We start from the raw sequence: 12780 nt of genomic DNA on the forward strand, positions 1-12780 counted from the left end.
GGCAGGCACCTGTAGTCCCAGCTACTTGGGAGGCTGAGGCAGGAGAATGAGGTGAACCTGGGAGGTGGAGGTTGCAGTGAGCCGAGGTCGTGCCACTGCACTCTAGCCTGGGTGACAGAGCCAGACTCCGTCTCAAAAAAACAAAAAAACAAAAAAAAAAACAAAAAACAAACAAAAAAGAAAGCCAATATTGTTTAATAAGAAAGTTGGGGCCAGGGATGGTGGCTTATGCCTGTAATCCCAGCACTTTGGGAGACCGAGGCGGGCAGGTCACTTGAGGCCAAGCGTTCGAGACCAGCCTGGCCAATATGGCAAAACCCGTCTCTACTAAAAATACAAAACTTAGCTGGGTGTGTTGGCACATGCCTGCAATCCCAGCTACTTGGGAGGCTGACCCCAGGAGGCAGAGGTTGCAGTGAGCTGAGATCTCGCCATTGTACTCCAGCCTGGGTGACAGAGGGAAACTGTCTCGAAAAAACAAAAAACAGAAAATGCAAAAATTAGCTGGGCATGGCGGCACACGCCTGTATTCCCAGCTACTCTAGGAGCTGAGGCAGGAGGATTGCTTGAGCCTGGGAGGCAGAGGTTGCAGTGGGCTGAGATCCTGCCACTGCACTTCAGCCTGGGCGATACAGTGAGACCCTGTCTCAAAAAAAAAAAGTTGGGATGCAGTTCTAAATTAAAAGAGGCTTAAAATTCATGACAACCGCCGGGCTCGGTGGCTCATGCCTGTAATCCCAGCACTTTGGGAGGCCGAGGCAAGCTGGTCACCTGAGGTCAGGAGTTCAAGGCCAACCTGACCAACATGGAGAAACCCCATCTCTACTAAAAATACAAAAATTAGCCAGGCATGGTGGTGCATGCCTGTAATCCCAGCTACTTGGGAGGCTGAGGCAGGAGAATTGCTTGAACCCGGGAGGCGGAGGTTGCAGTGAGCTGAGATCACGCCATTGCACTCCAGCCTGGTTAACAGGGGCAAAACTCCGTCTCAAAAAATAAAATAAAATAAAAAATAAAAATTCATGAAAACCATATGCAGTGCTCAAACTTTAATGGGCTCTTGATTTAAATAAAAATTAAATAAAATAAAAGATATTTTGGGAATACTAGAGAAATTTGACTCTAAGCTGGTTTGATTGATATTTAGAAATTGATGTTAATGTTCTTACTGTGCCAGTAGCAGAGTGATTATGAGGAGAATGCCATCATTTTGGAAGATATATGAGGAACTATACAACTTATTTTATATTTTTCCCAAGGAAAAATCTACATATTTAGCTCAAACAACCCAATTCAAAAATGTGGAAAGAGGCTGGTCATGGTGCCTCATGCCGGTAATCCCAGCACTGTGGGAGGCCAAGGTTGGTGGATCACTTGAGGTCAGGAGTTGAACACCTGCCTGGCCAACATGGTGAAACCCTGTCTCTACTAAAAATACAAAAATTAGCCAGGTGTGGTGGCGGTCACCTGTAATCCCAGCTACTCAGGAGGCTGGAGGCAGAATAATTGCTTGAGCCCGGAAGGCAGAGGTTGCAGTGAGCCGAGATCGTGCCATTGCACTCCAGCTAGGCGATAGAGCAAGATGCCGTCTAAAAAAAAAAAAAAAAAGTGCAAAGGACTTGAATAGACATTTTCTCCAAAAAGATAAACAAATGACCAATAATCACAGAGAAAGATGTTCAACACCATTAATCATTAGAGAACTGCAAATAAAAACTACAATGGGATATCACTTCATACCCATTAGGATGGCGGCTATCAAAAAACCAAAATAGTAAGACTTGGCAAGGATGTGGAGAAATTGGAACCATTGTAGAGTGTTGGTGAGAATGCAAAATGATACAGCTGCTATGGAAAACACTGCATGGAGATTCCTCAAAAAATTAAATATAGAATTACCATACAGCAATCCCACTTCTGGGTATTTATCCAAAATAATTGAAATCAGCAACTTGAAGAGATGTTAGCACTCCCATGTTTCTTGCCCCACTGTTTACAATACTTGAGATTTAGAAACAACCTGAATGTTCATCCAGAATGAATGAAACAAAAATGTGGTGCCTACATACAATGGAATGTCATTCAGCTTTAAAAAATACGGAAATTCTGGGACACACTACAACATGGATAAGCCCTGAGGACATGGTGCTAAGTGAAATAAGCTAATCACAAAGAGACAAATACCTCATGATTCCACTTATATGAGGTGCTTAGAGTAGTCAAAATCATAGAGACGGAAATAGAATGGCGGTTACCAGGTTTGAGGGGAAGGAGAAGTGGGGAGTTTTTGTTTGTCTGTTTGTTTGTTTTGGTTTGGTTTGGTTTGGTTTTGAGACAGAGCGCTCTGTCGCCCAGGCTGGAGTGCAGTGGCGCTCCAGTGGGACTCCAAGTGGCACTCCAAGTGGGATCTTGGCTCACTGCAACCTCCCCCTCCCGGAGCAATTCTCCTGCCTCGGCCTCTCTAGTAGCTGGGATTACAGGCATGTGCCACCACGCCCGGCTATTTTTGTATTTTTAGTAGAGACGGGGTTTCACCGTGTTAGCCAGGATGGTCTCAATCTCCTGACCTTGTGATCCGCCCACCTCGGCCCCTCAAAGTGCTGGGATTACAGGCATGAGCCACCACGCCCAGCCCGAAGTAGGGAGTTGTTGTTTAATGGGTTTGTTGAAACTCTCTTGTTTGAATTTTAGTTTTACAGGTGAAAAAAGTTATAGAGATGGATGGTGGTGATGGTTACACTACATTATGAATGTATTTAATACCACCAAACTGTACACTTAAAAATGATCAGGACTGTAGATTGTATGTTATAGGTACTTTAACACAATAGAAAACTGAAAAAGAAATACAGAAAAGGTAAACCAAAAAATCTACAGATTTATGTATACATATAGATGAAACAAATATGACAAAATATTGCCAGTTGTTGAATCTAAGTGGTTAGTACAAAGATGTTCATTGTTTTATCCCTTCAACCTTTCTCTATGTTTAAACATTTTCATAATAAAAAGTTGGGAAATAAAAATAAAGAGGCCAGGCACAGTGGCTCATGCTTGTAATCCCAGCACTTTGGGAGGCCAAGGCAGGTGGATCCCTCGAGGTCAGGAGTTGGAGACCAGCCTGGCCAACATAGTGAAACACTGTCTCTACCAAAATGATATAAAAATTAGCTGGGTGTGGTGTGCGCGCCTGTAAACCCAGTGACTCAGGAGGCTGAGGCATGAGAATCGCATGAACCCAGGGGGCAGAGGTTGCAGTGAGCCAAGATTGTGTCAGTGCACTCCAGTGTGGGTGACAGAGTGAGACTCTGTCTCAAAATGAATGAATGAATGAATGAATGAATGAATGAATAAATAAATAAATAAATAAATAAAATAAAGGAAACTGTATTTTAGTTCCTATTCCTCCATTAATAAGCACAGGCCTTGAGCCAATTCCATAAACCCTTTGAGAATCCATTTTCTCATCTGTAACATGGGGATAATAACGTTGCTCATCTCAGTGATGTTTTGAAGATTAAGATCGTTTATGTGATGCCGGTAACACAGGCGTGGTGCATAGGTGCTCAGTAAGTTGATTTTATCCACAAGCAAAGCTAACAGAGAGAAGCATCGCATGGCCCCTTTCTTAGCTTCGTATTGGTCAGATGCTGGCTTCTGGTCAACCAGCAAATCCTTTCTGAGGGCTGGGCTAGGTGTCTTCTGTTTGCCATTCCAGATCCAGTCTATTCTTTCTCTACCCTGCTCTGTGACCAGAGAGGCAGAGGCGTGTGGACTGCATCCTTGCCCTCCCTTTCCTTCTGCCCTCTAGTTAGGTTCAACCAATGGGAAGCACCAGCAGGAGGCTGGACGGAGGTGCAGAGGAAACCTCTTCCTGCTGTGGTGCCCTGGATGGGCAACCATTCCCTCTTCTTGCCCCTTCTTGCCCCTAGGAATTTAAAGAACCCCCCAGTATTGCTTGCCCTGGGACACTGTACTGTCCCTTGTTACTTTACTTAAACCTCGTACATACAGACTTTATTAAACTGCTTATTGATCCAGTTTGAGTGTGCCACCTATTTCCTACCAGAACTCGGGCTGACACAGGGTCTTCTGTGTGCTATTTTGCCAGGCTCTGAGAGATACCATAATTAGGAACTCAGACATAGTCCTTTCTGGGGCTTATTGTGCCTTCACCTTGAACCTGTCCCCTTGGAGATTTCTGAGCTGATACCAATTTCTTATTCCAGTGGACACAGCATACACAGAATGGCAAACAGCACCTACCCTGCCTCTACTCCTCAATTCGCACGTGGTAAAATCTGACTTGGATTCTGTGATATCTAGGCCTATCCCAAATCTTCAGATCCAAACAGAGAGAAATGTTGGCTGTGCCCCATTCTCTTTACTCTGCGTATCTAGGAGCTTGAGAATTCAATGGAACCTCATTAAATGTCTGAAGCACTTTGACAACAAACAAATATGGTAACATTTAGCAGGATGCTGTGTATAGTGTGGGGCTTCATTAAGTCAAGTTTGTGGTGAGAAGAACTCAGAAAACACATTTGTTTAAGACAATAGGATTAGATCATATTCTCCTCAGATGTTTCTTTGAGTCTTTCAATGTCTGTATAGATGGCCCCCAAATGAGACTAGGATTTAACATCTCTAGAGAAGCTGGGGTTCGCAAACTCAGGGTCTTCCTTTATATCTACTCTGAAATGGTTTTCTCCCTCCCACTATAAACATGAAGAGTTGGACATCGTTTGTGGGCAGGATTTAATGGCAACAATGGTAAACAGTCCCCACCCTGGTGCACCACTGAGCCTGCACCACCATGCTCAGCTTATTTTTTTGTTTTTGTTTTTTTTCAGAGGGAGTTTCACTCTTTGTTGCCCAGGCTGGAGTGCAGTGGCGTGATCTTGGCTCACTGCAACCTCCACCTCCTAGGTTCAAGCAATTCTCCTGTCTCAGCCTCCCGAGTAGCTGGGATTACAGGTGCCCACCACCACACCCAGCTAATTTTTGTATTTTTAGTAGAGATGGGGTTTCATCGTGTTGGCCAGGCTGGTCTCAAACTCCTGAGCTCAGGTGATCTGCCCATCTCGGCCTCCCAAAATGCTGAGATTAAAGGTGTGAGCCACCACGCCCGGCCAATTTTTATATTTTTTTGGTAGAGATGAGGTTTTGCCATGTTGCCCAGGCAGGTCCCGAACTCTTGGGCTCAAGGAATCTGCCCACCTTGGCCTCCCAAAGTGCTGGGATTACAGACGGGAACCACCACGCCCGGTCTCAGTGAATGATTTCAAACACCCTTGTGTTCTCCCCGTTGGGAACCACAACGGAATCTGCCTTTTTGTGCCAACACCTGTTGATATGGTTTGGCTCTGTGTCCCCACCCAAATCTCATACTGAATTGTAATCCCCACGTGTTGAGAGAGGGAAGTGATTGGATCATGGAGGTGGTTCCCCCATGATGTGCTCACGATAGTGAGTTCTCAAGAGAGCTGATGATTTTGTAACTGTTTGGAAGCTCCTTCTTTGTGGTTCTCTCTCCTGCCACCTTGTGAAGAAGGTGCTTGCTTTGCCTTCGCCATGATTGTAAGTTTCCGGAGGCCTCCCCAGCCATGCAGAACTGTGAGTCCATTAAACCTCTTTCCTTTATAAATTACCAGTCTTGGGTAGTATCTGTATAGCAGCATGAGAACGGACTAATAAACCTATGAAACAACTGATGAAACTTGCATCATCTTCTGGTTTGGTAGCTCACAAAGGACCCTCTCAGAGCACGCTGTTTCCTCTTAAATAGCCCGATAACAATTAAAAACCTTCCTGGATCGTCCTTTCTCGAAGACTGCAGAAGTCTGAACCATATAGAGAGTTTCTTTGCATTTGGATCTTGTCCTCTGGCTCCATGCATTGGCTGCCAGGTTGCAATTACAGCTCCTGAGTGTAAGCCTCAGGGGAGGCTCATCCACTGGGGTAAGCATATGCACAAGTGGAAAATAAACAACCCAAGGTATTTCTGGCTTTGGAGCTGGCTCACAATAAGATGTCACAGAGAAGGGAGCAGTCGAGGCAAGTGGAACTTTTGCAGGTACAATGTAAACCAGGGTGAAAATTCCTTCCTAACCCATCCTAGCTAACATGGTGAAACCCCGTCTCTACTAAAAAAAAAAAAATCAGCTGGGTGTGGTGGCATGCGCCTGTAGTCCCAGCTACTCCGGAGGGCGAGACAGGAGAATCGCTTGAACCCGGGAGGCAGAGGTTGCAGTGAGCCGAGATCGCACCACTGCACTCCGGCTTGGGCGACAGGGCGAGACTCAGTCTCAAAAAAAAAAAAAAAAAAAAAAAAGAAAAAGAAAAAAAAGAAAATTCCCTCCTATGGATAGCTTCCCCCAGGAGGAGTGACCTCATGATGATACCTAATGTTTATTGAGCATTTATTTATTACATCCATAGCACTCAAGATGCTCTTGACACACATCTTCTCACTGGGCCCTTACAACAACCCCTGTGGTAATACACTACCATTACCCTTAACAATAATGTTTATTTCAGTAACAAACCCTATCTTACAGATGAGGACACTGAGACTTAGAAAACTAGGAAAAATTCTCCTGGGTGGACATGATAGCTCATGCCTGTAATCCTAGCACTTTGGGAGGCTGAGGTGGGTGGATCTCTTGAGACCAGGAGTTCAAGACCAGCCTGGGCAACACTGCAAGACCCTATCTCTACAAAAATAAATAAAATTAGACAGGTATGGTGGCATGCACCTGTAGTCCCAGCTACTCAGGAGGCTGAAGCAAGAGGATCAATTGAGCCCAAGGATTTAAGGTAACAGTGAGCTATGTTCACGCCACTAAACTACAGCCTGGGTGACAGAATAAGACCCTTTCTCATTTAAAAAAAAAAAAAAGGAAAAAAGGAAAAATTCTCCTAAGGTCATACAGTTTGCAGATGGATAGAAGCAGACCTTGAGGACAGGTTTAGGTAGCATCAAAAACCCTACTCCTGCACACCCCTGCCAAGGAGGCATTTTATTGTCACACGGACCTGGCACACAGTTGAGAGCAGAGAAACAAGGAAGGATCTGCCTGCTAGAACATAAGCTACTTAAAGAGAGAAATCTTTGTTTAGTTCACTGCTGTATCCCCAGCACCTGTAACAGTGCCTGGCACATATTTGTTAAAAGCAGTGAAAGAAGTGGTTATTATTAGTCACTTGTCACCTGACCTCAGCCATCACACTTCCAGCCTGTGAGTGTGTGGGGGTGATGATCACAATGGAAGAAGTCGATCAGTCATCGAACTCCACCCAGTGTGGCTGTGGTCCTCGGAATCATGGGGTGGGCTCTGCCAGGTTGGGAATGTGTTCAGATTTTAACTGCATGGATCATAGCTACAGATGTGCGAGAAGGAATGCCGCAGAGCTCCGCAGGGCAAGCAGGGTCTGGCGACAGGTGACAGGCATCAGGGCGGGGCCCCTGGGCCCTGAGCTTCCTGCACACTGAAGATACTGTTGAGGGGCGGTGGGGGGGTGTGGGTAAGGGGGAGAAGAGGGTGTGGGAGATCCAGAGTAGGGAGGAAGAGAGGGAGAAAACACAAGAGCCCAGGAGGGAGGTGGGAAGGCCCCCTTCTGCTGCTCCAGCTGGTCGGACAGGCCCCCAGGCCCCCCCTCCTCCTGCTCCTTTGCCCATTGTAGGGCAGTCTGAGCGAGAACAATGGGAATGGAATCCTTCTTCCCCTCCTGCCTGGCAGGGCTGGGCCCACTTCCTCCTGGCCCCACCGAAAGGAATGCTTTCTTGTCCAGACTGTGTGGTACCCGCAGGGAAGAAGGGCACTTGGGGCTCCCCAGGGACCGAAGGCTTTGTGGCTTGAGCCGATGACAATGGGGTTGGAGCAGGGAGTGGGGGTGGGGGGGTTGGATCTTTTCAAAATTTCTCTTGGGTTTCTAATGAGTATTTCTGCTCTTTTTTTCTGATTCATGATGGGGTCTCTGTCATGAGGCCTTAAGTCACGCTAAGTTACTTGGGGCCTTTTCTGACTTCTGGAGCAGAACACTCAGGCGGATCTGTGACCCCAAGTGACAGCACCCACAGCCGGAGAGAAGCCCTTTGAGACAGGTTAGCGATGCCTGAGCACCACCCCCACCCTAGGCAGGGCTGCGGATCATCTGAGCTCTTCCCTCCTGGCCTCCCGGTACCCCAGAAGCCACTCCATTCTGTGTGGAAACTGCAGCTCAGGGCCACTCCGATTTTTATTTCAGGTTTGGAAGGCACAAAAGCTAATTCTTCTGCCTCCTCCGTGTCTCAAAGCATAAAAATCCTCCAATCTCCCGCCTGGAAGGTCGACGCCTGGCTGTCCACCTTCTGGGGACAGATGAAGGCAGAGGGCTGGGGCTGTCTCAGCACACAGTCTGTAAACTTAATCCCACTGTAGTCACCTGTGCTGCTTGTTGACCCTCTGTTGTTCCTTCTTCGGAGAATAAAACGCCTGTCTCTGCCAGCTTTTGGGGAGAGGCAGCAACCGGACTGCATGGCGAGTGGGAGGGTGTGGAGTCTGGCTTCTGTACAGCCCGTTTTCGGGCTCGGAAGCTCCACTGTAGCAGGACAAGCCGCAGACAAAACTCCTCAGACACCGAGTTAAAGAAGGAAGTGGTTTATTCGGCAGGGAACATCGGCAAGACTCCTGTCTCAAGAGCCGAGCTCCCCGGGTGAGCAATTCCTGTCCCTTTTAAGGGCTCACAACTCTAAGGGGGTCTGCGTGAGAGGGTCGTGATCGATTGAGCAAGCAGCGGGTATGTGACTGGAGGCTGCATGTACCAGTAATCAGAATGGTAATCAGAACAAAACAGAACAGGACAGGGATTTTTACAATGCCTTTCCATACAATGTCTGGAATCTATAGATAACATAACCGGTTAGGTCAGGGGTCGATCTTTAACTACCAGGCTTAGGTCAGGCAGGCCCAGGCCTGGTTTCGGGTCTGGTTCCTTGGTTTCGGATCTGGTTCCTAGGCACTGGGCTACCTGCCTTTAGTTTTGCTTCTCTTCCCTTTTTTGAGTATAAGATAATATAAAACAATATGAGAGGATCTGTCTCTCTTCTCCCACCACCAACACTCCACTGCTAGAGATCCTTGGTGCTGTAGATCCTGGAGCCCTCTGTAGGGATCTGCAGTGCAAATCACATTGCTGCTCAGCATTCCGACTGCTGGATTAGGAGCCAGCTTTGTTGGGTTTGCTAAATTGGTTACGACTTATGGGTCTGCTTTTTGTTGTTGTTGTTGGGTTTTTGTTGGTTTATGTTGTTTTCCTTATTTTTTGGCTGCTGTCTCTTCCCCTGTTCACTTTGTCCTTCTAGGTTTTTGTCTTTTTTTTTTTTTGAGACAGTTTCGCTCTTGTTGCCCAGGGTGGAGTGCAATGGTGCAATCTCAGCTCACTGCAACCTCCACCTCCCGGGTTCAAGCAATTCTCCTGCCTGAGCCTCCAGAGTATCTGGGATTACAGGCATGTGCCACCACGCCTGGCTAATTTTGTATTTTGGTAGAGATGGGGTTTATCCATGTTGGTTAGGCTGGTCTCGAACTTCTGACCTCAGGTGATCCGCCTGCCTCGGCCTCTCAAAGTACTGGGATTACAGGCGTGAGCCACTGTGCCTGGCCTGGGTTTTTTGTTTTTTTTTTTAATTCCCTTCATCTTACTCTAGCGGGCTTTTGGAATGCATGTGTTCAAACTCCCACCTTTGAACTGTTTTCATGTATCAATCCTGGAAAGGTTTAAGACTTTGAGTAACAGAAAATGTTGTAAGTCATGGCCCTTAAACACATTTTTGGATTTAAAAATTAATTTTGCAAATAAATCATTGTGTGTTCTCTCTTGTCTCCACTCCCATTACCTTTCCCTAAAATGTGTTACTTCGTTATGGAACCCAGAGCCTCACACTGTACCAGAGCTTGGTGCATACGTGTTAGATGACTGATTGACAGGCTGACTCACAATCTAACTAGCCCGTATCTTATGGGATCTTTCATCTAAGAAGAGACACAGCATACTATACCATGCATGTTAATTTCCATAGCCTATACTTGCTTTGTTAATTTTCATTACAAACTATATTGAAGATATCAAAAAGCATATTAAATGCAAGATATAGAATGTAAAGAGGAATAATACAAGAACTACCACGGCACCCAGTAGCCAGCTTAAACACTGCAGCCTTACAAGCCCCGAGTGCCTCTTTCTGAGCACATGTCCCTCCTTCCCAGAAGCACCCACTGTTTTGTGTTGATAAATCACCTGCTTTCTTTATAGTTTTACCATTTGTGCATGCAAATCTAAACAATACATTGTATCCTTTTACTCATTTTTGAAATGTATACATGGAATCATACACTGTAGTTTTCTCTGATTTGCTTCTTTCACTCAACATTGGTTTCGAGGCCCATCCTAACTGATCTACATAGCTGCAGTTCATTCATTCTGCTAAAATATTCCATTATAAATAGCACCACAATTTATTCATGTATTCCACTGTTGATGGACATTAGAGTTGTTTCATTTTTTTACTATCCTGAGCAACAGGCCTGGGACTAGGGTGAGGAAGAGGGAAGTCACACTAGTTTCCTAGTGCTGCCATAACAAATTATTGCTAACTTGGTGTCTTAAAACAACAGAAATTTTTCTTCTCGCAGTTCTGGATGCCAGGAGTCTGTAATCAAGGTGTTGGCAGGGCCATACTCCTTCAAAGGCTCTAGCAGAGACTCTTTCCTTGCCTCTTCTAGCTTCTGGTGGCTCCAAGTGTCCTTGGCCCATGGCTTATGATTGCATGACTACAACCTCGGCCTTGGCCTTCACATGGCCTTCCCCTCTTCTCCCTGTGTCCCTCTTCTGTGTGTCTCTTCTAAGGACACTTGTCATTGAATATAGGACCCAACCAGTCTATCCAGAATGATTTCAGGCCGGGCGCGGTGGCTTACGCCTGTAATCCCAGCACTTTGGGAGGCCGAGGCGGGTGGATCACGAGGTCAGGAGATCGAGACCATCCTGGCTAACACGGTGAAACCCCGTCTCTACTAAAAATACAAAAAATTAGCCAGGCGTGGTGGCAGGCGCCTGTAGTTCCAGCTACTCGGGAGGCTGAGGCAGGAGAATGGCGTGAACCCAGGAGGCGGAGCTGGCAGTGAGCCGAGATCGCACCACTGCCCTCCAGCCTGGGTGACAGAGTGAGACTCCGTCTCAAAACAAACAAACAAACAAACAAAAAACAGAATGATTTCATCTTCAGATCTTTAACTTCATTACATCTCCAAAAACCCTTTATCCAAATAAGGTCACATGCACAGGTTTTGGGACACAGATGTACTTTTGAAGGGCTATCATTCAGCTTGCTATCAACACTGCGCGTGCAATATTAGAGACCACAACCTACAACAGTCCTGAAGGGGAGTAGGGGAGTACCACCTTAAGTTTTTTGCCCTAGGAGCCGTTCTTCCTCCTTCTGGTCCTGACCCTGCTGAAAAACCCTGCCATGAACATCTGTGCATACCTCCTGGTACCCTTGGGCAGGAGTTTTTCTAGAGTGCATAACATAGGACTGGAATTGCTGGGTAGTAGAACATGTGCATATTTGTCTTTATTAGCTAAGGCGAGGCTCTTTTCCAAAGTGGTTTTACCAGTTTATTCTACTATTAGTGGTGGAGAGCAGTTCTGTTGCTCCACATCCTGTTCTTGTTGCTCCAAGACCTGGCCTTGTCTGGCTTTCTGATTGTAGTCAGTTGGGTAAGTGTGGAAGAGTATCTCCTCAAGGAATTTTTTTTTTTTTTTTTTTTTTTTTTTTGAGACAGGGTCTGTGTCACCCAGGCTGGAATGCAGTAGCATGATCATATAGGTCATTGCACCCTTGAACACCTGGGCACAAGCAATCCTCCTGCTTCAGCCTCCCAAGTAGCTGGGACTATAGGAGCGTGTTACTGCAGCTGGATAGTTTGTTTTATTTTTTGTAGAAATGGGGTCTCACTATGTTGCCCAGGTTGGTCTCAAACTCCTGGCCTCAAACCGTCCTCCTAGCTGGGCCTCCCAAAGTGCTGGGATTACAGGCATGAGGCATCACACCTGGCTTCATCAAGGTTTTAATTTGTATTTCTCTGATTACTAATGAGGTTAAGTATATTTTCACATGCTAATGAGCCACTTGTATTTCCTCCCCTTTGAAAGGCTTTTTCAAGGCTTTTGCTCATGTTTATAATTTATTTTTGCTTTTTCTTTTTGGTTTGTAGGAATACTTTATATATTCTCCATACTAATCCTTTGTTATTTAAATATGTCCCAAATATCCTTTCCCAATAAGTTATCTCTTTCCCAATAAGTTATCTCTTTTTTTGTTTTTTTTTTTTTTTGAGATGGAGTCTCACTCTGTCACCCAGGCTGGAGTGCAATGGTGTGGTCTCGGCTCACTGCAACCTCCACCTCCAGGGTTCAAGCGATTCTCCTGCCTCAGCCTCCCGAATAGCTGGGACTACAGGCACGTGCCACCACACCCGGCTAATTTTTGTATTTTTAGTAGAGACGGGGTTTTCCTATGTTGGCCAGGCTGGTCTCGAACTCCTGACCTGGTGATCCGGCCGCCTTGGCCTCCCAAAGGGATTACAGGCGTGAGCCACCGTACCTGGCCTAAGTTATCTTTTTACTCTCTCTTTTAAAAATGTAGTTGAATTTATCAATTGTTTCCTTTATAGTTTGGGCTTCTGTTCTTGTTTAAAAAATTCTCCCCATTCTTAAGCATATAACAGTATTTCT

At 45.9% G+C, this 12780-nt stretch overlaps 2 annotated features.

Moving 5' to 3' along the window:
• Positions 4684–5184: an enhancer, noted in NCBI's record as "H3K27ac hESC enhancer chr5:141612188-141612688 (GRCh37/hg19 assembly coordinates)". NCBI's record gives its function as "activates a minimal SCP1, AML or CMV promoter by ChIP-STARR-seq in naive H9 embryonic stem cells {active_cell/tissue: H9 hESC(naive)}" and the evidence as "EXISTENCE:reporter gene assay evidence [ECO:0000049][PMID:30033119]".
• Positions 8535–9263: an enhancer, noted in NCBI's record as "H3K27ac-H3K4me1 hESC enhancer chr5:141616039-141616767 (GRCh37/hg19 assembly coordinates)". NCBI's record gives its function as "activates a minimal SCP1, AML or CMV promoter by ChIP-STARR-seq in naive H9 embryonic stem cells {active_cell/tissue: H9 hESC(naive)}" and the evidence as "EXISTENCE:reporter gene assay evidence [ECO:0000049][PMID:30033119]".

Source organism: Homo sapiens, chromosome 5, assembly GCF_000001405.40.
Source record: "Homo sapiens chromosome 5, GRCh38.p14 Primary Assembly".
NCBI lineage: Eukaryota > Metazoa > Chordata > Mammalia > Primates > Hominidae > Homo > Homo sapiens.